We start from the raw sequence: 24,275 nt of genomic DNA on the forward strand, positions 1-24,275 counted from the left end.
GAAGTTCCCTGCAAACGAATAGACAGTAAGAGTCAATGAGGGGATGGTAGCTATGAAGGAGAAGGAAGTCCTTTGGAAATAAGAAGTGGTAAAGGTGGTGGCCACACAGGGAGGAGGAACCCGACGGAGAAATGGCAAGGAGCTGAATCAGGTCCTCCTTTCATAGCGGTGGCCTGGCTGGCCTCTGGTGTCCCTTTCCATGGACATGGGGGGAGGGGTGACCACATGACACAATTGGGACTGTGTTCAGGGTGACTGCTCAGTTTGTCTGAGTCAGGGATGAGACATTTGTGTGCTAAGAACTCTGAATCTCTGGGCTGAAAGGAGTAGCTACAACCCTAATTGTTAAGCTACTCTATATTCAGCAGACCATTGACTAAAATGAAACACAAAAATAAAAAACAGGCCTGGCATGGTGGCTCACGCCTATAATCCCAGCACTTTGGGAGGCCAAGGTGGGTGGATCATCTGAGGTCAGGAGTTCGAGACCAGCCTGGCCAACATGGTGAAACCCCATCTCTACTAAAATACAAAATTAGCCGGGCTTGGTGGTACACGCCTGTAATCCCAGCTACTTGGGAGGCCGAGACATGAGAATTGCTTGAACCCAAGAGGTGGAGGTTTTTAGTGAGCCAAGGTCATGCTACTGCCCTCCAGCCTGGGTGACAGAGTAAGACTCTGTCTCAAAAATAAAATAAAATAAAATAAAATAAAATAAAATAAAATAAAATAAAATAAAGTACAAATATAAAACAAAACTACTCTACATTTACATTTTGTTTCTAATGTGTCTTGTCTTCCCCCTTTCACAGGTTTCTGGGCTCCTAATATTGGTAAGAGAGCCCTGAATCCATCATCTCTGCTTCGTCACAAATTCCTTTATTAAAGACGGTAGTCTGGAAGAGTTGAAAAACCTACAGACCACAAAGGTTTACACTGCCTTTATACCATTTAATTTCTGGGGGATGTTTTTATAGATAAATTCCATTGGTTTTATATTAGTATTATTACAAAATAAAGCATGGTTATTATTCATCTGTTTATTTCCTACAAAGAAAAAAAAGGTAAATTGCATATGGTCCCACCACTAATCAGTAGTTTGTGATGTAGATCCTGCCAGTCATAATCACAAATAGTATACATATGCTTTCTAATCAGCTTTTTTTTCAGGTACTGCACCTGAACATGTTTCAAATTCACCATATGAACATGTTTCATATTCTTAAATTTTAATTTAAACTTTACTACGTTTTTTTTTCTTTTAATTGAGACCAGAGTCTCACTCTGTCACCCAGGTTGGAGTGCAGTGGCACAATCTCAGCTCACTGCAGCCTCAACCTCTCAGGCTTAAGTGATCCTCCCACCTCTGAACCTCCTAAGTAGCTGGGACTACAGGCACCCACCACCACACCCGGCTAACTTTTGTACTTTTTTGTAGAGACAGAGTCTCACTATATTGCCCAGGCTGGGTCTTGAACACCTAGGCTCAAGCGATCTGCCTGTCTCAGCCTCCCAAAGTGCTGGCTTACAGGCGTGGGCCACCACACCCAGCCTTACTAAGTATTTTTTCTTTCTTTTCTACAGATGGGGTCTCACCATGTTGACCAGGCTGGTCTGAAACTCCTAACCTCAAGCAATCCTCCCATCTCAGCCACCCAAAGTGCTAGGATTATGTGCATGAGTCACTGTGCCCGGCCTTTACTAAGTATTTTTAATATCATAATGATTGTTTGCATTCTGCATGGGTATGTTATAATTGACTTTATATAAGTCCCCTTTATGGGATAGTTAGATTTTCCCCCTCCCCAAATTTTTACTATTAGAAACAATATTTAATAACACCACCTGAGGTAATTTTTTCAAAAATATTAAAACTTAATCTAATATTTCCTAGCAAGCAGAAAAAAAACTATTTGAAGGAAATTAAAAATAATAATAATAAATAGAAAATTGTAAGGCTGAATCTAATAAACCGTCTAGCTCCAACTTGAAGGTTATAGGAAATGAAACCATATGAAAAGTCCACGATGTGGGACATTTTATAGAAAAATTCATCTAGTATCTTCAACAAGTCAATGGCATGATAAAAAGGGGGAAGTCACTATTCTAGATAAATACTTAAATAATACACCATGTTGAGTGGTATCCTGGTCTCTAAAAATGTCTACAATTTGTTTTATTTTTATTTTATTTATTTATTTTATTTTTTTTATTATTTTGAGAGATGGAGTCTTGCTCTGTCACCTAGGCTGGAGTACAGTGGCTCGATCCTGGCTCACTGCAACCTCCACCTCCTGGGTTCAAGTGATTCTCCTGCCTCAAGCTCCAAAGTAGCTAGGAGTACAGGCGCACGCCACCACGCCTGGCTAATTTTTATACTTTTAGCAGAGACAGGGTTTCGCCGTTGTTGGCCGGGCTGGTCTCAAACTCCTGACCTCAAGTGATCCACCCGCCCTGGCCTCCCAAAGTGCTGGGATTACAGGTGTGAGCCACCACAACCAGCTGAATTTGTTTAAAATACTGCAGGAAAAAAAATAAGGGAATCAAATTTAATAACCACCACTAAGCCTAAATCAAGGTGATGAATAAATGCAGGCTTACTTCGGTGCTTTCCATTTCATCTGTGCTTAAAAGAAAAATATCTGAACTCTTTTATTTTAACAAATTCCAAACATGTAAAAGTAGAAACAATATTAAATGAGCTCCCTTTTATCCATTACGCAGGGTCAACAATCATTAGTTCACGGTCAATATTGCTTCCTCTGTATCACCTCCCATTTCTCTATCCCAGATTGTATAAAACAAATCCTACACCTCATATCATGCCATCTGTAAGTATTTTAGAATGTATGTCCATAGAACAAGAACTCTTTTTTTTTCCCTTCCATGATACAGCCTCAGGAGGTCCTGAGAACGTGTGCCTGAGGACTCTTTTTTAACATAATCAAAATGCCATTATTATGCCTAAAATCATTCAATAATAATTTCTCAGTATCATCGAGTAAGCATAAGTGTTTAAATTTCCCTAATTGTCCTAAAATATTTTTCAGTTTTATGATTTGTCTGAATCAGAATCAAAGTAAAATTGATATACTACAATATGCTTTTTAAGGGTCTTTTAATCTACAGATGCTCTACCACCTCTTTTTCTTTTTTTTCTTTAAATTTTTGTTGAAAAAACAGGTTAGTTGTGCCCTAGTGGTTTCTAAAATCTAGATGTTGCTGATTCTGTTCTCACAGTGTTGTTTAACATGTTCATCTTTCCTTTGTATTTCCTATAAATTGATCATAATCTACGAACTTGATAAAATCTGATTTTTTTGGCAGAGTTGGGAATGTGACTTTCTGTCAGGAGGCACATTATGTCTGCTTGTTTCTCTTTTGTGATGTTAAGAACTATTGGTGATCATTGCTTAGCTCCATTAAAATGCCTGAAAATTTTTATTATATAAAATCAAAAAATAAATTTTAACACTTAATAGTAGAAAATGCAAATAGGAAAGAGGTATTCCTATATTTACTAACATGAAAATAACTGAGATATATTGGCACATGAAAAAAAAGTTGGGAAATATTATGCATAGAATAATCCCATATATTATTACAATTATGTGTATGTAAATATGCACATGGGAATATAAATGTACAGAAGAAAATCGTTAGGCAGTGGGTGAGTGGGTGTATGAATAGTGAAAGGACATTTTTTTTTTTTTTCTATTTTTTGAGACGGACTCTCACTCTACCACCCAGGCTGGAGTGCAGTGGTGTGACCTCGGCTCACTGCAACCTCCACCTCCCAGGTTCAAGTGATTCTCCTGCCTCAGCCTCCAGAGTAGCTGGGATTACAGGCATGCACCACCATGCCTGGCTAAATTTTGTAGTTTTAGTAGAGATGGGGTTTCACCATGTTAGCCAGGCTGGTCTCGAACTCCTGACCTCATGTGATCTGCCCACCTTGGCTTCCAGGAGTTCAAGATCAGCCTGGGCAACATGGCAAAAGCCTGCCTCTACCAATAAATAAATAAATTAGCTGGGTGTGGTGGCATCAGCCTGTGCTCCCAGCTACTTGGAAGGCTGAGGTAGAAAGATTACTTGAGCCTGGGAGGTCAAGGCTACAGTAACCCATTATCTCCCACCACTGCACTCCAGTCTGGATAATAGAGAGAAATTTTGTCTCAAAAAAAAAAAAAAAAGAAGAAGAGGCCAGGTACAGTGGTTCATGCCTGTAATCCTAGCACTTTGAGAAGCCAAGGCAGATGAATCACTTGAGGCTGGACATTCAAGGCCAGACTGGGCAACATTACAAAACCCCATCTCTACAAAAAATTAGCTGGGCATGGTGGTGTGCACCAATAGTCCCAGGTACTCAGGAGGCTGAGGCAGAAGGATCATTTGAGTCCAGGTGGAGGCTACAGTGAGCCAAGATCACCACTGCACACCAGCCTGGGTGACAAAGTGAGACCCTGTCTCAAAAAAGACAAAGAAAAAGGGAATGCCATTAATTTTTATATGTTGATTTTGTATCCTGCAACTTTACCGATTCGTTTATCAGTTCTAGGAGTTTCTTGGTTGAGGTTTTAGATTTCTCTCTATATAAGATCACATCATCTGCAAAAAATAAATAAATGACCTTTTCTAATCTGGATGCCTTTTATTTCTTTCTCTTGCTTGATTGCTCTGGCTAGGACTTCTAGTACTGTGTTCAACAAGAGTGGTGAAACTGGGCATCCTCACCGGGGCAACAGAGCAAGACTGTCTAAAAAAAAAAAAAAAGGCAGCCTTGTCTAATTCCCGTTTTTAGAGAAAGGGCTTTCAGCTTTTCCCCATTCAGTATGATGTTAGTTAGTATGATGGGTTTGCCTTATATGGCCTTTATTATATTGAGGAATGTTTCTTCTAAGTTCCTAGTTTGAGAGTTTTTATCATGTAAGGATTTGGATTTTATCAAATGTTTTTTCTTTGTATATTGAAATGATCATATGGTTTTTGTCCTTCATTCTGTTGATGTGATGTAGCACATTTATTCATTTGCATATGTTGAACCATCTTTACATCCCTGGGATAAATCTCAATTGATCATGGCATATTATCTATTTGATGTGTTGTTGGCTTTCGTTTCCTAGTATTTTATCGAGGATTTTTGCATCTATGTTCATCAAAGATGTTGGCATGTAGGGTTTTTTTTGTTGTGTCCTTGTCTGGTTTTGGTTTGAAGCTGGTATCACCTTGATACCCAAACCAAACAAAGATGGTATGGAAGAGAGTATCACCAATATCCCTCATGAATATAAATACTAAAATCCTTAACAAAATATTAGAACATAGAATTTGGCATTGTATAAAAGAAATTATACAACATGACCCAGTGCTGTTTATACCTGGCATGTAAATATGATTCAACATTCAAAAATCAGTCAGTGTAATCTACTATAGTAACAGACTGAGGAAGAAAAATCATGGAATCATATCAATTAAGGCAGAAAATATTTGATAATATTTAGAACTCTTTTATGAGTAAGATTCTCATAAACATAAAAATAGAGAACTTCCCCAAGAATATAAAGAGCATATACATGAGAACCTACAGCTAGCATCATATTAAAGGTGAAAACTGAGTATTTTCCCCTTAAAATTGGTAAGGAGACGAGGATGTCTTTCTCCTCTCACCATCCTTATTCATGAGGATGAGGGCTGCAAGTTCTATTCAGGTCAATAAGACAAGAAAAGGAAATGAAAGACATACAAATCAGAACAGAAAAAATAAAACTGTTCCTGTTTCTATATAACGTGATTGTCTACATAGAAAACCTTAAGAAATCTTCAAAAAAAAAAAAGACCCCTCCTAGAATAAGAGAGTTCAGTAAATATGGAAGATGTAAGATAAATACACAAAAATTTATTGTATTTCTATAAAAATGCAATGAATATATAGACACTGAAATTAAAAATACAATACCATTTTAAATTGTTCAAAAAGAAAAAAGAAATACTTAAGTGTAAGTCTAACAAAAATGTATGGGACTTGTATGCTGAAAACTACAAAATACTAAGGAAAGTAACTTTAAAGAAGATCTAGGCTGAGCGTGGTGGCTCACGCATGCAATCCCAGCACTTTGAGAGGCCAAAGTGGGAGAATTGCTTGAGGCCAGAAGTTCAGGACCAGCCTGGGCAACATAGCAGGACTCTGTTCCTAAAACAAGGAAGAATAATAAGAAGAAGATCTAAATAAATTGAGACATACTGTGTTCATGGATTGTAAGATTTAATATAGTAAATATATCAATTATCCACAAATTGATATATATGTTTAAAGCAATTCCTATCAAAATCTCAGCAAGATTTTAATAATATAGACAAAATTATTCTAAAATATGTATGAAAAAACAAAGGAACTAGAATAGCTGAAATAATCGTAAAAGTAAAAAAGCAGAACAATTTAGGAGGAATCATTCTACCCAATTTCAATATTTACATAGCTATGGTTGTCAAGATTGTGTAGTATTGGCTTAGTGACAGAGTCGTCAATCAATAGAACTGAAAAGAGAACCCAGAAATAGACCCACAAATGCCCCCAATAAATTGTATTTATTGATACAAAATATTTGTATGTATTTATGAGGGGCATGTGATATTTTGTTACATGCAGTGACCAAGTCAGAGTATTTGCTATAAATTTGTACAAAGTTGCAAGCATAATTCAGTGAAGATAGCCTTTTTAACCAATGATGATGGAGCAATTGAATATATATTCATAAGCAAAAAATAAACCTCAACCTAACCTCAGACCTCATATAAAAATTAAACCTCAAATGTATCATGGACTTAAGTTTATATATAATATAAAACTATAAAACATTTAGGAAAAAACATACTAGAAAAATCTTCTGGATCTAGAGCTCAGCAAGGAGTGTTCAGACTAGACACCAAAAGCATGATCTGTAAAAGGAAAAATTGAGGTACATCAAAGTTAAAACTTTTTCTCTGCAAGAGACTCTGTTAAAAGGAAGAAAGGCCGGGTACGGCGGCTAATGCCTGTAATCCCAGTACTTTGGGAAGCCAAGGTGGGCAGATCACCTGAGGTCAGGAGTTCAAGGCCAGCCTGGCCAACATGGTGAAACCCTGTCTCTACTAAAAATATAAAAAATTAGCCAGATATGGTGGTGCATGCCTGTAATCCCAGCTACGCAGGAGGGAGGCATGAGAATCACTTGAACCCAGGAGGCGGAGGTTGCAGTGAGCTGAGATCCTGCCACTGCACTGCAGCCTGGGTGACATAGTGAGTCTCCGTCTGGGGAAAAAAAAAAAAAAAAAAAAAGGAAGAAAGATAAGCTACAGACTGGGAGAAAATATTTGCAAACCACATATCCAGCAAAGAACTGAATCTATAGAATACATAAAGAACACATATAGAATAAATAAAGAGCTCAAAACTCAACAGTTAAAAAAAATCTAGTTAGAAAAGATATAAATGGAAATTTCACTGAAGAGGATGTACAGGTGGCAAATGAGAGTGTGGAAAGATACTTACCATTGTTAGCCATTAGAAAAATGCAAGTTAAGGCTGGGAGCGGTGGCTCACACCTCTAACTCCAACACCTTGGGAGGCAGAGGTGGGCAGATTGCTTGAGCCCAGGAGTTTGAGACCAGCTGGGCAACGTGGCAAAACCCCATCTCTACAAAAAAATACAAAAAAATTAGCTGGGTGTGGTGACATGCACCTATAGTCCCAGCTACTTGGGAAGGTGAGACAGGAGGATGGCTTGAGCCCTGGAGGTGGAGGTTGCAGTGAGGCGAGATTGCATCACTGTACTCCAGCCTGGACAACATAGTGAGAAACTGTATCTACAAAAATAAAATAAAATAAAATAAAATAAAATTAAATTAAATTAAATTAAAATAAAATACAAAAATTTGCAAGTTAAAACTGCAATTAGGTAACATGACACATCCATCAGATTGGCTAAATTTAAAAACAGTAACAATATCAAATGCTGACAAGTGTCCAGAAACACCAAATCACCCATACTTGCTAATGGGAATATAAATGGTGCCACCATTCTGGAAAATTGTTTGGTAGTTTCTTAAAAACCTAATGCACAGGTAGATCCAAAATCAATCGTTAAGTAACAAAACAAGTTACAGAACAATATGCATAATTTGGTCTTCTTTTAAAATTTTATTTCAATCGTTTTGGGAGAACAGGTGGTGTTTGGTTACATGGAAAGGTTCTTTTGTGCTGATTCCTGAGATTTTGGTGCACTCATCACCTGAACAGTGTACACTGTACCCAATGTGTAGTCTTTTATTCCTCACCCTCCTCCCACTTCTCCCCCCAAGTCCCCAGAGTTCATTATATCATTCTTATGCCTTTGCATCTTCATAGCTTAGTTCCCACTTATAAGTGAGAACCCATGATGTTTGGTTTTCCATTCCTGAGTTACTTGACTTAGAATAATGGTTGCTGTGAATGCCATTATTTTGTTCTTTTTTATAGCTGAGTAGTATTCCATGGTATATATATAAAACACATTTTCTTTAACTTGTTGGTTGATGAGCATTTAAGACTGGTTCCATATATTTGCAATTGTGAACAGTGTACTATAAACATGCTGTGCAAGTGTCTTTTTCATATAATGACTTATTTTCCTCTGGGTAGATACCCAGTGGTGGGGTTGTTGGATCAAATGGTAGTTCTACTTTTAGTTCTCTGTGGAATCTCCACACTGTTTTCCATAGTGGTTGTACTAGTTTATATTCCCACCAGCAGTGTAGAAGTGTTCTCTTTTCACCACCTCCAAGCCAACATCTGTTATTATTTATTTTTTAATTATGGCCATTTTTGCAGAAGTAAGGTTGATCTTATTTTTAAAAGCACAACACAAAACAAAATGTATATGGGTATTTATATTTGTATTTGCTTAGGAAAAATTGTGGAAGGGATACACAGGCAACCATGAATTGCAGTAATCACTTCACTATGGAATAAGAAATGAGATTGAAGAAAACACATTTTCTAGATGTGATTAGAAGTAGTCTCTATAGCAGCACTATACAATAAAACATTTTGTGGTGCAGAATTAGAAAAAACTATTTTAAAATTCATATGGATCCAGAAAGGAGTCTGTATAGCCAAGACAATCCCAACCAAAAAGAACAAAGCCGGAGTCATCACTCAACTGAATTTCAAACTATACTGTAAAGCTACAATAACCAAAACTGCACGGTACTGGTACAGAAACAGACACACAGACAAATGGAACAGAATAGAGAACTCAGAAATAAGATCACACATCTACAACCATCAGATCTTTGACAAACCTGACAAAAACAAGCATTGGAGAAAGAACTCCCTATCTAATAAGTGGTGCTGGGACAACTGGCTATCCATTTGCAGAAAATTGAAACTGGACCCCTTCCTCACACCTTATACAAAAATTAACTCAAGATGGATTAAAGACTTAAATGTAAAACCCAAAACTATAAAAATCCTAGAAGAAAATCTAGGCAATACCATTCAGGACATAGGCATGGGCAAAGATTTCATGATAAAATTGCCAAAAGCAATTGCAACAAAAGCCAAAATTGATGAATGGGATCTAATTAAACTAAAGAGCTTCTGCACAGCTAAAGAAACTATCATCAAAGTGAACAGGCAACCTACAGAGTGGGAGAAAATCTTTGCCCTTTTTTTTTTTTTTTTTTTTTTTGAGACAGAGTCTCACTCTGTCACCCAGGCTGGATAGCAATGGCACAATCTCAGCTCACTGCAACCTCTGCCTCTCAGGTTCAAGCGATTCTCCCACCTCAGCCTCCTGAGTAGCTGGGATTACAGGCATCTGCCATCATGCCCAGTATTTTTGTGGAGACAGGGTTTCACCATGTTGGCCAGGCTGGTCTCAAACTCCTGACCTCAGGTGATCTGCCCACCTCAGCCTCCCAAAGTGCTAGGATTACAGGCTTGAGCTACTGCACCTGTCCGAAAACCTTTGCAATTTATCCATCCGACAAATGTCTAATATCCAGAATCTACAAGGAACTCAAACAAATTTACAAGAAAAAGACAAACCCATTAAAAAGTGGGCAAAGGACATGAACAGACATATCTCAAAAGAAGACATTCATGCAGGCAACAAACACATGAAAAGAAAGCTCAACATTACTGATCATTAGAGAAATGCAAATCAAAACCACAATGAGATATCATCTCATGCCAGTCAGAATGGCCATTATTAAAAAGTCAAAAAACAACAGATGCTGGTGAGGTTGTAGAGAAATAGGAATGCTCTTACACTATTGGTGGGAATGTAAATTAGTTAAACCATTGTAGAAGATGGTGTGAAAGAATGATCAAGCAAAATAAAAATTAAGAATACTTGTTTACAAAAAAAAAAAAAATGTGTGATGATGGAAAGGTTCAACACTATGTTGTTCAACAGGGTAGCTCCTAGCCATCTGTGTTTATTGCACACTTTAAAAGTGGCTAATGCAACTGAGGACTGAATTTTTAATTTAATTCCATTTTAATTAATTTTAATTTTAAAATAGCCATATATGGCTACTGGCTGGCTTAGTGAACAGCACAGCTCTAGAATCAAAATGAATATATCCACAGCCTATTTCCACCACTTTCAAGTTATTTAAACACAAGTACATTTCTGAATGCCTCAATTTCTTCACCTATGGAATCTGGATGATAGGAATATTTTACTAGCAAAGTTGTTGTATAATCTCCTCAGAACTATACTTATATATTGATATAATTATTTCACCTCTTATTTAATACTTTGTGTACTTTTTAAATTTTGTACAATAAACATGTATTTCCTTTGTAAGTTTTATAAAATATATTTTTGAAAGCTAAAACTTCTCTGGTTTTGTACAGTCTTTCTTCCATGAATAGAAAAAAATTCACTTTGAGTCCCACTTTTCCCTCTACCCAGTTACAAGTTAAGGCTGACATTATTACATGGGCAATGGTGTAAAGTCAGAAATGGCTGACCTGTGGGTTCCTAAGAAGCCTGAGACTTCTCCGGCTTAAGCTCACATTTTTGCAGTGAGGCACTACTGGATACCTTCCTGGGCCTCTAAGGCTATTTATTTCCTTGAGCTATTTTCCTTCCCCTCTCACATACCTGAGATGTTCCACCCTTTAGAACTATCATGACCTGCTGTCTTCATGGAGCTTAGCATCTAGAGGTGGAGAAAGAGAAAACAAGTAATCAACTAATGTTGTAACAGATGCTATGAATAAAAGAAACAAAGCTGCAGATTAAAAAAAAAAAGGTTGGCAGAAATATTGATCAGAAACAGTCTTTCTGAGAAAATGACTATGACGGTGAATTTTATGTATCAACTTGACTTGGTCACAGGATGCCTACATAGCTAAACATTATTTCTAGGTCTATCTGTGAGAATATTTCCAGACAAGATTAGCATTTGAATTGGTGGACTGAGTAAAGCAGCTGGCCCTCCCCAATATGAGTGGACACCCTCCAGTCTGTGAGGACCTGAATAGAACAAAAAGATGGAGGAAATTAACTCTGCCTGACCACTTGAACTGGAACATCAATCTTCTCTGTTCTCAGTGAATCTGGTTTGCAGGCCTTTAGACCCAGACTATCATCTACACCATCAGCCCTCTGTCTTTCAGGCCTTTGAACTACCCTACCAGTTTTTCTATGTCTTCAGCTTGTAGAACAGCAAACCAAGGGACTTCTCAGCCTCCATAATTGCATAAGCCAATACCGTATAATAAATCTCTTCCTTTATAGGTAGAGAGAGAGAGATGGCATGAAATGAGCCAAAGGCATAGCCTTGCAGATAGAGGAAACAGAATGTGCAAAGACACTAAGTTGAGGAATAACTTGGAATTTCCTAGACATATAAAGAAAGCCGGTATGACCAGAAAGCAGTGAGTGAGAGAAAGATGGTGTGGACCATATTTGAATAACTACCAGAAAAAAGCCATATGACACAGGCCAAAGGAAGAACTGGGGGTTCATTCTAAGGACTATGTATAGATGGATTGTGTAATATAATTCACATTTTAAGGATATTGCTTTATCAGAAATGGAAGAATAATGGCCCTATAGTGCATCAAGCCTTCCTCTTGTTGGCTATTATTAAAAATGGCATCAGTGAGGCTGGGCATGGTAGCTCACATCTGTAATCCCAACACTTTGGGAGGTCAGGAGTTTGAGACAAGCCTAGGCAACATGTAAGATCCTGTCTCCACAAAAAATTTTTATAAAATGAATTTTTTAAATGGCATAAGGGCTCTTTTCACTCTAAGGGGTCATTTCAGTTACCTATTGCTACATGCAAAACACATTAAAACTTAGTGGCTTAAAACCACATTATATTATTATCTCTTATGTTTCTGGAGCATTCTCATTTGGGGTCACTTAAGCAGTTGCTATCAGATGATGGCTTGGACTGTAATCATCTGAAGGCTTGACTGGGCTAGACATCCAAGATGACTCCCTCCCATGGCTTGCAGTTGATGCTGGCTTTTGGTAGAAAACTCAGCTGGGCTGTCAACTACGGTATCTACCCAGCCTCTTCATCTGGCTTGGGCTGCTTTCATTATGACAGTTTGGTTCTGAATAAGAGCATCAAACAGAGAGCATCTTAAGAACAAGTGTTCCAAGAGGTCCAAGTGAAAGCTGCAAGCCTTGTTTTTTTTTTAGACAGAGTTTCACTCTTGTTGCCCAGGCTGGAGTGCAGTGGTGCAATCTTGGCTCACTGTAACCTCCACCTCCCAGGTTCAAGCAATTCTCCTGCCTTAGCCTCCCAAGTAGCTGGGATTACAGGTGTGTGTCACCACACCTGGCTAATTTTTGTATTTTTAGCAGAGACAGGGTTTCACCATATTGGCCAAGCTGGTCTTGAACTCCTGACCTCAGGTGATCTGCCCACCTCAGCCTCCCAAAGTGCTGGGTTTACAGGTGTGAGCCACTGTACCTGGCCTGAAAGTTGCAAGGCTTCTTATGATCTAACTTCAAAAGTTCCCGTAACATCACCTCTGCCACATTCTATAGGTCGAAGATCACTGAGGCTAACCCAGATTCAAGGTGAGAGGAATTAGAGTTCACCTGTCAATGACTGGACACTGTATTAGTTATCTACCACTGGTAAAAACAAACAAACAAACAAAACCCACACAACTATACTGACTTTAAATCACATATATTTATTAACTCATAGTTTCCAGGGGTCAAGAATCTGGGCAGGGCTTGATTGGGTCCTCTGCTTTAGGGTCTCTTACAAGGAAGCAACCAAGGTATCTGCCAGGGCTGGGTCTTATCTGGAGACTCAACTGGGAAAGGATACACTGCTCATTTGCATGGCTGTTGGCAGATTTTAGTTCCTAGTGAGCTATTGGACTGAGGGCCTCATCTTCTTGCTAGCTGTCACACAAAAGCTTCCCTGAGTTCCTTGCCATGGGGGTCTCTCCATATGATGATACCTTACTTCATTAAAGCCAAAAAGGAAGAGAGCCATTAGAGAAACTGGTAGCAAAACAAAAGCTGCAATCTCATTTGCTTCATTCTGTTGGTTAGATGCAATTCACTAGGCTGGTCCACACTCATGAGTAGGGGATTTCACAAGGATGTGAATATCAGGAGTGTGAATCATTAAGGACTCTCTGAAAGTCTGCCCACCACAAGTACAAAAGAATGCAGGGCTGTCTTTAATCTACCACAGAAGCTTGCTGCTAAAGACTAAAAGGAGACTGACAAATATTAATATATTCAACAGTATTTACTGAGTGCCAGCTATGTGCCATCCAGACATCAGAGCAGGCCCAAGAAATACAGGGATGAATAAGACATCATAACTGCCCCCAAGGAGGTCATAGGCCAAAAGAAGAGAAAGACCTTTAAGGAAATTGCAGTGTAATAAATGCAAGAATAAAAACACATGCAATGCGGCTGGGCACGGTGGCTCACACCTGTAATCCCAGCACTGTGGGAGGCCAAGGCAGGAGGATCACCTGAGCCTGGGAGTTCAAGACCAGCCTGGGCAACATGGCAAGACCCAGTTTCTATAAAAATAAAAATAAAAAACACATGCAATGTATAGAATGGCAAAGAGGATGATATAGAGAGGTCTATCAGGAAAAGATGAAGCCTGACCAGGGTACTGAGAGGTGAATGGGAGTTTATGAGATAAACGAAGTTATGCTAAGCCATGGAACTGGCATTGCAATAGAGCAAAATGAGAAACAGCATGGTGTATGTATAGGATAATGAACCTTTTGGCTTGTCTGGAGGATAAAGTAAAAGAAACAGGAAGAACCAAGAGTGGACAGTGACCCAAGAAAAGGTGTAGTCCTAGGGGCCACATTAAGATGCATCAATTCTCTAGGTCATGAGGTAAAAGACAGAATCCTCAGCAGGAGAGAAATATGACACATACATACTTTAAGGTCATCTCTGCAGGCGTTGCATGGAGAATTAGCTGAAGGAAAGTGAAGGGAGAGAGAGAGTAGACAGGTGAGGCTAATGCAGTAATCTAGTCCAAGTTAACCAAATTAGAACTGAAAGTGCAGCTGTGGGGAATGGAAGGGTAGTTATGCATTAAAGGCAGTCATGGGATATAATCAATAGACTGTACTTATTGCTTGCAGTGGATGGAAGAAGAGCTTTGGGAAAGAATGAAGCAAGATGGAAAAATCCAGGCTACATCTGGTTTTTGGACTCAAAGCTGTTTGTGGAAGAAGGAGGGGCTTTAAAAGGCTAAGTTCACGTCTGGACACAGAAGGCTGCAGCTGACTGTGAAATACCCAGGTGGAAATGTGAAGCTAGCAGTTAACAACTGGTTCTGAAGCTCAGGAGAGACATCTGACTGCAATAGAGATTTAGGAATCTCCAGTGAGTAGGGAAAAGATGCCTAGAAAGAAGTATGCACTAGGTTGAGTCCTGAGGGACATAAACACGAAAGGATAGAAAAAGAGGAGCCAGCCACTGCTGCTAAGAACAAAAGTAGAGGATGTGTTAGTTTGTTTTACGTTGCTATAAAGGCATACTTGAGACTGGGTAATTTATGAAGAAAAATGTTTATTTTGGTTCACCATTCTGCAGGCTGTACATAGCACCAGCATCTGTTTAGCTTTTGGTGAGGCCTGAGGAAGCTTTCACTCATGGCAGAAGGCACAAGGAGAGTAGGCATGTCACATGGAGACAGAAGGAGCAAAAGAGCTGCCAGGCTCTTTTAAATAACCAGCTCTTGCATTTACTATTAGAGCAAGAATTTCCTCATTACCACAGGGAGGGCACTAAGCCATTCATGAGTGGTCTGCCCTCATGATCCAAATACCTCCCACAAGGACCCACTTCCAACATGGGGATCACATTTCAACATGAGATTTGGAAGGGACAAAAATCAAAATGATATCATTCTGCCCTGGCCCCCCAAATGTCATGTCCTTCTCACATTGCAAAATGTAATAATGCCTTCCCAATAGTCCCCCAAACTCTTAACTCAATGCAGCGTTAACTCAAAAGCCCCAAGACCAAAGTTCAAAGCCTCATCTAAGACTCAAGGCAAGTTCCTTCCACCTATAAGCCTGTAAATCAAAAACAAGTTATTTACTTCCAAGGTACAATGGTAGAACACACATTGGGTAAATATTCCCATTCCAAAAGAGAGAAATTGGCCAAAAGAAAGGGGCAGCAGACCCCATGCAAGTCTAAAACCCAGCAGGACAGATATTAAAGCTTAAATATCCAAAGTAATCTCCCTTGGATCCATGTTTCACATCCTGGGCACACTGGTGGGAGAGGTAGGCTTCCAAGTTTTGGGCAGCTTCACCCCTATGGCTTTGCTAGTTATAGCTCAAGTGGCTGCTCTCATGAATTGGAGTCTGATGTCTGTGGCTTTTCCACACTAGGGTTGCCGGCTGCTGGTGGTGCCACCATGCTGGAATCTGGACAGTGGCAGTCTTATTCCAACAACTCCACTAGGCAGTGCCCAACTGGGGACTCTGTATGAGGGCTCCAACCCCACATTTCACCTTGGTATTGTGACAGTAGAGGCTCTTGCAGGGAAGGGCTCCACCCCGCAGCAGGCTTCTGCCTGGGCACCCAGGCTTTCCCATTCAACCTCTGAAACCCAGGTAGAAGCTGCCAAGCCTTCTTCACTCTTGCATTCTGTACACCTACAGGCCTAACACCACATGGGAGCTATCAAGGCTTATGGCTTGTGGCTTCCAGGCTGCATGCTCTGAAGTGGCAGCCAGAGCTGAACTTGCAGCCCTTTGAACTCTCTTTTAGTCATTCTAGTCTCTCTAGCAAGCAATCACTTTGTAGCCTGTTTGAATTCCTCCCCTAAAAAAGCTCTTTCCAGGGCCAGGCGTGGTGGCTCACACCTGTAATCCCAGCACTTTGGGAGGCCAAGGCAGGTGGATCACGAGGTCAGCAGTTTGAGACCAGCCTGACCAACATGGTGAAACCCCATCTCTACTAAAAATATAAAAAAAAATAGCTGGGTGTGGTGGCAGGCACCTGTAATCCCAGCAACTTGGGAGGCTGAGGCAGGAGAATTGCTTGAAACTGGAAGGCAGAGGTTGCAGTGAGCCAAAATTGTGCCACTGTACTCTAGTCTGGGCAACGAGAGCAAAACTCCATTCTCAAAAAAAAAAAAAAAAAAGCTCTTTCCTTCTATACCACATAGCCAAGCTAAACATTTTCCAAACTCTTACACTCTGCTTTCAACTATAAATTCCCACTTTAAGTAATTCATTTGCTCCCACATCTGATCATAGGCTGTTAGGAGCAGCCATACCACCTCTTGAATGCTTTGCTGCTAGGAAATTTCTTCCACCAGATGCCCTGTCATCACTCGTCATTTTAACCTTCCACTAATCCCTAGGGCACAGACACAATGCAGCCAAACTCTTTGCTAAGGTGTAACAAGGGTGACCCTTGCCCAGTTTCTCATAAGTTCCTCATTTCCATTTAAGACTACATCAGCATGGCCTTCACTGTCCATAATTCTATGAGCATTTTGGTCACAACCACTTAACAAGTATCTAAGAAGTTCCAAACATTCCCTGGTCTGCCTGTCTTCTTATGAACCCTCCAAATTCTTCCAATCTCAGCCCAGTACCCAGTTTCAAAGCTGCTTCTACATTTTCAAGTGTCTTTATAGCAACACCTCACTCCTTGGTACCAATTTTCTGTGTTAGTCTATTTTGTATCATTATAAAAGAACACCTGAGACTGGATAGTTTATAAAGAAAACGGTTTATTTTGGCTCATGGTTCTGCAGGCTGTACGAGCATAGCACGAGCATCTGCTTGTCTTCTGATGAGGCTGCAGGAAGCTTTTATTCATGGCAGAAGGCACAGAGAAACAGGCATGTCACATGACAAAAAAAGGAAAAAGGATTAAGAGAGATGCCAGCCTCTTTTTAAAAACCTGCTCTGACATGAACTAAGAGTGAGAACACACTCATTACTGTCGGGAGGGCACCAAAGCCATTCATGAGGGATTTGCCCCATGACCCAAATATTTCCTACCAGGCCCCACCTCCAACATTAGGGATCACATTTTAACATGAGATTTGGAGGGGACAAAAATCCAAACAAAGGCCAGGCATGGTGGCTCAAGCCTGTAATCCCAGCACTTTGGGAGGCCAAGGCAGGATTGCTTGAGCCCAGGAGTTTGAGACCAGCCTGGGCAAAATAGGAAGACCCTGTCTCTACAAGAAAATTTAAATAAAAATTTTAAAAAATCCAAACTATATTAGAGGGGTAGAAAGAAAACCAGGATAAGTGGTGTCACTTCATGAGAGCAAAAGGGAAGACAGAGTTGAAAGAAAGATGGTTTGGTCACTGGGGTCAAATGTTACTACGAGATCAAATATAACAAGGAATGACAAATAGCCACTGCACTTATACTGAACTTTTGTTGGAGGGCTTCATTGGAAGGGGAGGAAAATTTTTTAAATCCTTTCTCTTATAGTGCCTAAATCACACATATCCATCTATCAATCAATGCAAGTTCTTTTCCTACTCTTAATTTTGTTGAAATGCAAAAACCATAAAATGCACCAATTTACACTAGTTCTTATATATCCATAAAGTTGTACAATCATCACCACTATCTAATATAAGAACGATTTTATCATCCCAAAATGAAACCGCATATCCCTCCATATTTCATTAACAGTCACTCTCTATTCTTTCCTCTTTTCAGCCCCCATAAGCCAGTAATCTTCATTCTGTTTCTGTATTTTCCTATTCTGGATATTTTATAGAACATAACATATACTACATTGTCTTCTGTGTCTGGCTTTGTTCACTTAGTACAATGTTTTTGAGGTTCACCTATGTTGTGGCATAAATCAGTATTTCATTTCATTTTATGGCTGAGTAATATTCATTAGATGGATATGCCAAGTTTTATTTATCCATTTATCAGTTTTGGACATTTATTTCTGTTTTTTTCCTCCTATAAGTAATGCTGCTATAAACATTTATGTTCAAATTTTTGTGTGAACAGATGTTTTTAATCCTCTTCGGTATATACCTAAAAGTGGAAGTTCTGTATCACATGGTGACTCTACATTGAACTTTTTGAGGAATGACCAGACTAGACTGCTTCCCAAAGTAGCTGCATCATTGTACATTCACAATTAAAGTGTACAAGAATGTTATCTTCTGGTTTTTGTTTGGTTGGTTTTGATTTTCCTTAATTACAGCTACCTTAGCAAGTGTAAAGTAATATTTCATTGTGGCTTTAGTTTCTAGTTACCTAATAACTAATAATGTTAAGGAGTTTTTCATGTAATTATTGGTCATTAGTTTTTTGGTTCGGTTTTGTTTTGGTTTTGAGGCAGAGTCTCACTCTATCACCCAGGCTGGAGAGCGGTGGCAAGAGCTCAGCTCACTATAACCTCTGCCTCCCAGGGATCAAGCGATTCTCCTGCCTCAGCCTCCCGAGTAGCTGGGATTACAGGCACCCACCACCACATCTGGCTAATTTTTATATTTTTAGTAGAGATGAGGTTTCACCATGTTGCCCAGGCTGGTCTCAAACTCCTGGCCTCAAGTGATCCGCTCGCCTCAGCATCCTGGAGTGCTGGGATTACAGGCGTGAGCCACCGTGGCTGGCCTGGTCATTTGTTTATCTTTTTGGAGATGTGCCTATTCAAGTTTTTGTCCATTTTTAAATTAATTATTTATCTTTTGTTGTTGAGTTATGAGTTATTTATATTATTAATTAATTAATTAATTTTAAAAATTGTTTTCTTGTGGATACAAGATCTCCCTATGTTGCCCAGGCTGGCCTCAAACCCCTGGGCTCAAGTAATCCTCCCACCTCAGCTTCCCAAACTGCTAGGACTACAAGCATGAGCCACTCTGCCTGGCAAGAGTTCTTTATATATTTGGGATAATAAACTCCTATCAGATGCCCTCTCTCACCACTCCTATTCAACATAGTGTTGGAAGTTCTGGCCAGGGCAATCAGGCAGGAGAAAGAAATAAAGCATATTCAATTAGGAAAAGGGGAAGTCAAATTGTCTCTGTTTGCAGATGACATGATTGTATATTTAGAAAACCCCATCATCTCAGCCCAAAATCTCCGTAAGTTGATAAGCAACTTCAGCAAAGTCTCAAGATACAAAATCAATGTGCAAAAATCACAAACATTTCTATACACCAATAATAGACAAACAGAGAGCCAAATCATGAGTGAACTCCCATTCACAATTGCTACAAAGGGAATAAAATACCTAGGAATCCAACTTACAAGGGATATGAAGGACCTCTTCAAGGAGAACTACAAACCACTGCTAAACGAAATAAAAGAGGACACAAACAAATGGAAGAATATTCCATGCTCATGGATAGGAAGAATCAATATTGTGAAAATGGCCATACTGCCCAAGGTAATTTATAGATTCAATGCTATAACCATCAAGTTACCATTGACTTTCTTCACAGAATTGGAAAAAACTACTTTAAAGTTCCTATGGAATCAAAAATGTGCCTGCATAGCCAAGACAATACTAAGCAAAAAGAACAAAGCTGGAGGCATCATGCTACCTGACTTCAAACTATACTACAAGGCTATAGTAACAAAAACAGCATGGTACTGGTACCAAAACAGACATATAGACCAATGGAACAGAATAGAAATCTCAGAAATACCACTACACATCTACAACCATCTGATCTTTGACAGACCCGACAAAAACAAGCAATGGGGAAAGGATTTCCTATTTAAAAAATGGTGCTGGGAAAACTGGCTAGTCATATGTAGAAAGCTGAAACTGGACCTCTTCCTTACATCATACAAAAAAAATTAATTCAAGATGGATTACAGACTTAAATGGGCTGGGTGCGGTGGCTCATGCCTGTAAACCCAGCACTTGGGGAGGCCAAGGCATGTGGATCATGAGGTCAGGAGATTGAGACCATCCTGGCCAACATGGTGAAACTCCATCTCTACTAAAAATACAAAAAATTACCCAGGCATGGTGGCAGGCACCTGTAGTCCCAGCTACTCAGGAGGCTGAGGCAGGAGGATGGGTGAACCCGGGAGGCAGAACTTGCAGTGAGCTGAGATTGCACCACTGCACTCCAGCCTGGGTGACAGAGCGAAACTCTGTCTCAAAAAAAAAAAAAAAAAAAAAAAGACTTAAATGGGTCCAGGTGCGGTGGATCATGCCTGTAATCCCAGCACTTTGGGAGGCCAAGGCAGGCAGATCATGAGGTCAAGAGACTGAGACCATTCTGGCCAACCAACATGGTGAAACGCCATCTCTACTAAAAATACAAAAATTAGCTGGGCATAGTGGCTCACACCTGTTGTCCCAGCTACTCAGGAGGCTGAGGCAGGAGAATTGCTTGAACCTGGGAGGTGGAGGTTGCAGTGAGCCGAGATCACACCACTGCACTCCAGCCCAGGCAACAGAGCAAGACTCCATCAAAAACAACAACAACAACAACAACAACCACAACAAAGACGTAAATATAACAAACCCTAGAAGAAAACCTAGGCAGTACCATTCAAGACATAGGCATGGGCAAGGACTTCATGACTAAAACACCAAAAGCAATGGCAACAAAAGCCAAAATAGACAAATGGGATCTAATTAAACTAAAGAGCTCCTGCACAGCAAAAGAAACTATCATCAGAGCGAACAGGCAACCTACAGAATGGGAGAAAATCTTTGCAATCTACCCATCTGACAAAGGGCTAATATCCAGAATCTACAAAGAACTTAAACAAATTTACAAGAAAAAAACAAACAACCCCATCAAAAAGTGGGCGAAGCATACGAACAGACACTTCTCAAAAAAAGACATTTAAGCAGCCAACAGACATATGAAAAAATGCTCATCATCACTGGCCATCAGAGAAATGCAAATCAAAACCATAATGAGATACCATCTCATGCCAGTTAGAATGGTGATCATTAAACAGTCAGGAAACAACAGATGCTGGAGAGGATAGAGGATATGGAGAAATAGGAACACTTTTACACTGTTGGCGGGAGTGTAAATTAGTTCAACCATTGTGGAAGACAGTGTGGCGATTCCTCAAGGATCTAGAACCTGAAATGTCATTTGACATAGCAATCCCATTACTGGTTATATACCCAAAGGATTATAAATCATGCTGCTATAAAGACACATGCACACATATGGTTATTGCAGCACTATTCACAATAGCAAAGACTTGGAACCAACCCAAATGTCCAACAATGATAGACTGGATTAAGAAAATGTGGCATGCTCTCCCTCTCCCTCTCCCCACGGTCTCCCTCTCCCTCTCCCTCTCCCCACGGTCTCCCTCTCCCTCTCCCTCTCCCCACGGTCTCCCTCTCCCTCTCTTTCCACGGTCTCCCTCTGATGCCAAGCCGAAGCTGGACTGTACTGCTGCCATCTCGGCTCACTGCAACCTCCCTGCCTGATTCTCCTGCCTCAGCCTGCCGAGTGCCTGCGATTGCAGGCGCGCGCCGCCACGCCTGACTGGTTTTCGTATTTTTTTGGTGGAGACGAGGTTTCGCTGTGTTGGCCGGGCTGGTCTCCAGCTCCTAACCGCGAGTGATCCACCAGCCTCGGCCTCCCAAGGTGCTGGGATTGCAGACGGAGTCTTGTTCACTCAGTGCTCAATGGTGCCCAGGCTGGAGTGCAGTGGCGTGATCTCGGCTCGCTACAACCTCCACCTCCCAGCCGCCTGCCTTGGCCTCCCAAAGTGCCGAGATTGCAGCCTCTGCCCGGCCGCCACCCTGTCTGGGAAGTGAGGAGCATCTCTGCCTGGCCGCCCATCGTCTGGGATGTGAGGAGCCCCTCTGCCTGGCTGCCCAGTCTGGGAAGTGAGGAGCGCCTCTTCCCGGCCGCCATCCCACCTAGGAAGTGAGGAGCACCTCTGCCCGGCCGCCCATCATCTGAGATGTGGGGAGCGCCTCTGCCCCACCTCCCCGTCTGGGATGTGAGGAGCGCCTCTGCCCGGCCGCCCCGTCTGAGAAGTGAGGAGCCCCTCCACCCAGCAGCCGCCCCGTCTGAGAAGTGAGGAGCCCCTCCGCCCGGCAGCCGCCCCGTCTGAGAAATGAGGAGCCCCTCTGCCTGGCAGCCACCCCGTCTGGGAAGTGAGGAGCATCTCCGCCCAGCAGCCACCCCATCCGGGAGGGAGGTGGGGGTCAGCCCCCGCCCGGCCAGCCACCCCGTCCGGGAGGGAGGTGGGGGGTCAGCCCCCGCCCGGCCAGCCGCCCTGTCCGGGAGGGAGGTGGGGGCGCCTCCGCCCGGCCAGCCACCCCGTCCGGGAGGTGGGGGGCACCTCTGCCCCACCGCCCCTTCTGGGAAGTGAGGAGCCCCTCTGCCCGGCCACCACCCCATCTGGGAGGTGTACCCAACAGCTCATTGAGAACGGGCCATGATGACAATGGTGGTTTTGTGGAATAGAAAGGGGGGAAAGGTGGGGAAAAGATTGAGAAATCGGATGGTTGCTGTGTCTGTGTAGAAAGAAGTAGACATGGGAGACTTTTCATTTTGTTCTGTACTAAGAAAAATTCTTCTGCCTTGGGATCCTGTTGATCTATGACCTTACCCCCAACCCTGTGCTCTCTGAAACATGTGCTGTGTCCACTCAGGGTTAAATGGATTAAGGGGGGTGCAAGTTGTGCTTTGTTAAACAGATGCTTGAAGGCAGCATGCTCGTTAAGAGTCATCACCACTCCCTAATCTCAAGTACCCAGGGACACAAACACTGCGGAAGGCCACAGGGTCCTCTGCCTAGGAAAACCAGAGACCTTTGTTCACTTATTTATCTGCTGACCTTCCCTCCACTATTGTCCTATGACCCTGCCAAATCCCCCTCTGCGAGAAACACCCAAGAATGATCAATTAAAAAAAAAAAGAAAAAGAAAATGTGGCATATATACACCATGGAATACTATGCAGCCATAAAAATGGATGAGTTCATGTCCTTTGCAGGGACATGGATGAAGCTGGAAACCATCATTCTCAGCAAACTATCACAAGAACAGAAAACCAAACACTGGATGTTCTCACTCATAGGTGGGAGTTGAACAATGAGAACACATGGAGACAGAGCGGGGAACATCATACACTGGGGCCTGTCAGGGGGTGGGGGCTTGGGGGAGGGATAGCATTAGGAGAAATACCTAATGTAGATGACGAGTTGATGGGTACAGCAAACAAACATGGCACCTGTATACCTATGTAACAAACGTGCACGTCATGCACATGTACCCTAGAATTTAAAGTATAAAAAATAAAATATATTAAAATAAAATAAACTCCTATCCGATATGTGATTTGTAAATATTTTGTTCCATTCTTTGGGTTGACTTTTCACTTTCGTGATGGTGTCCTTTGATGCACAAAAAGGTTTACATCTTGATGAATCTTAAATTTAGCTGATTAAAAAACAATTTAAAAACAGTCTCAGCATGGTGGTTCATCCCTGTAATCCTAGCACTTTGGGAGGTCAAGGCAGGAGGATCTCTTGAGCCCAGGAGTTCAAGTCCAGCCTGTACAACATAGAAAGACCCTGTCTCTAAAAAGAAAATAATTTAAAAAATTAAAAAAATTTTAAAAGGTTTATATTTTGATAAAGTCAAACATCTGTTTTTTTTCTTTGGTTGCTCATGATTTTGGTGTCATAACTAAGAATCATCTCCTGTATATACCCAAAGGAATATAAATCATGGTGCTATAAAGACACATGCACACGTATGTTTATTGCGGCACTACCCACAATAGCAAAGACTTGGAACCAACCCAAATGTCCATC

General features: G+C 41.0%; 2 annotated features.

Annotated features, from left to right (window-relative positions):
- Window positions 22,421–22,925: an enhancer, noted in NCBI's record as "NANOG-H3K27ac hESC enhancer chr5:156441149-156441653 (GRCh37/hg19 assembly coordinates)". NCBI's record gives its function as "activates a minimal SCP1, AML or CMV promoter by ChIP-STARR-seq in primed H9 embryonic stem cells {active_cell/tissue: H9 hESC(primed)}" and the evidence as "EXISTENCE:reporter gene assay evidence [ECO:0000049][PMID:30033119]".
- Window positions 22,926–23,429: an enhancer, noted in NCBI's record as "NANOG-H3K27ac hESC enhancer chr5:156441654-156442157 (GRCh37/hg19 assembly coordinates)". NCBI's record gives its function as "activates a minimal SCP1, AML or CMV promoter by ChIP-STARR-seq in primed H9 embryonic stem cells {active_cell/tissue: H9 hESC(primed)}" and the evidence as "EXISTENCE:reporter gene assay evidence [ECO:0000049][PMID:30033119]".

Source organism: Homo sapiens, chromosome 5 (genome assembly GCF_000001405.40).
Source record: "Homo sapiens chromosome 5, GRCh38.p14 Primary Assembly".
Lineage (NCBI taxonomy): Eukaryota > Metazoa > Chordata > Mammalia > Primates > Hominidae > Homo > Homo sapiens.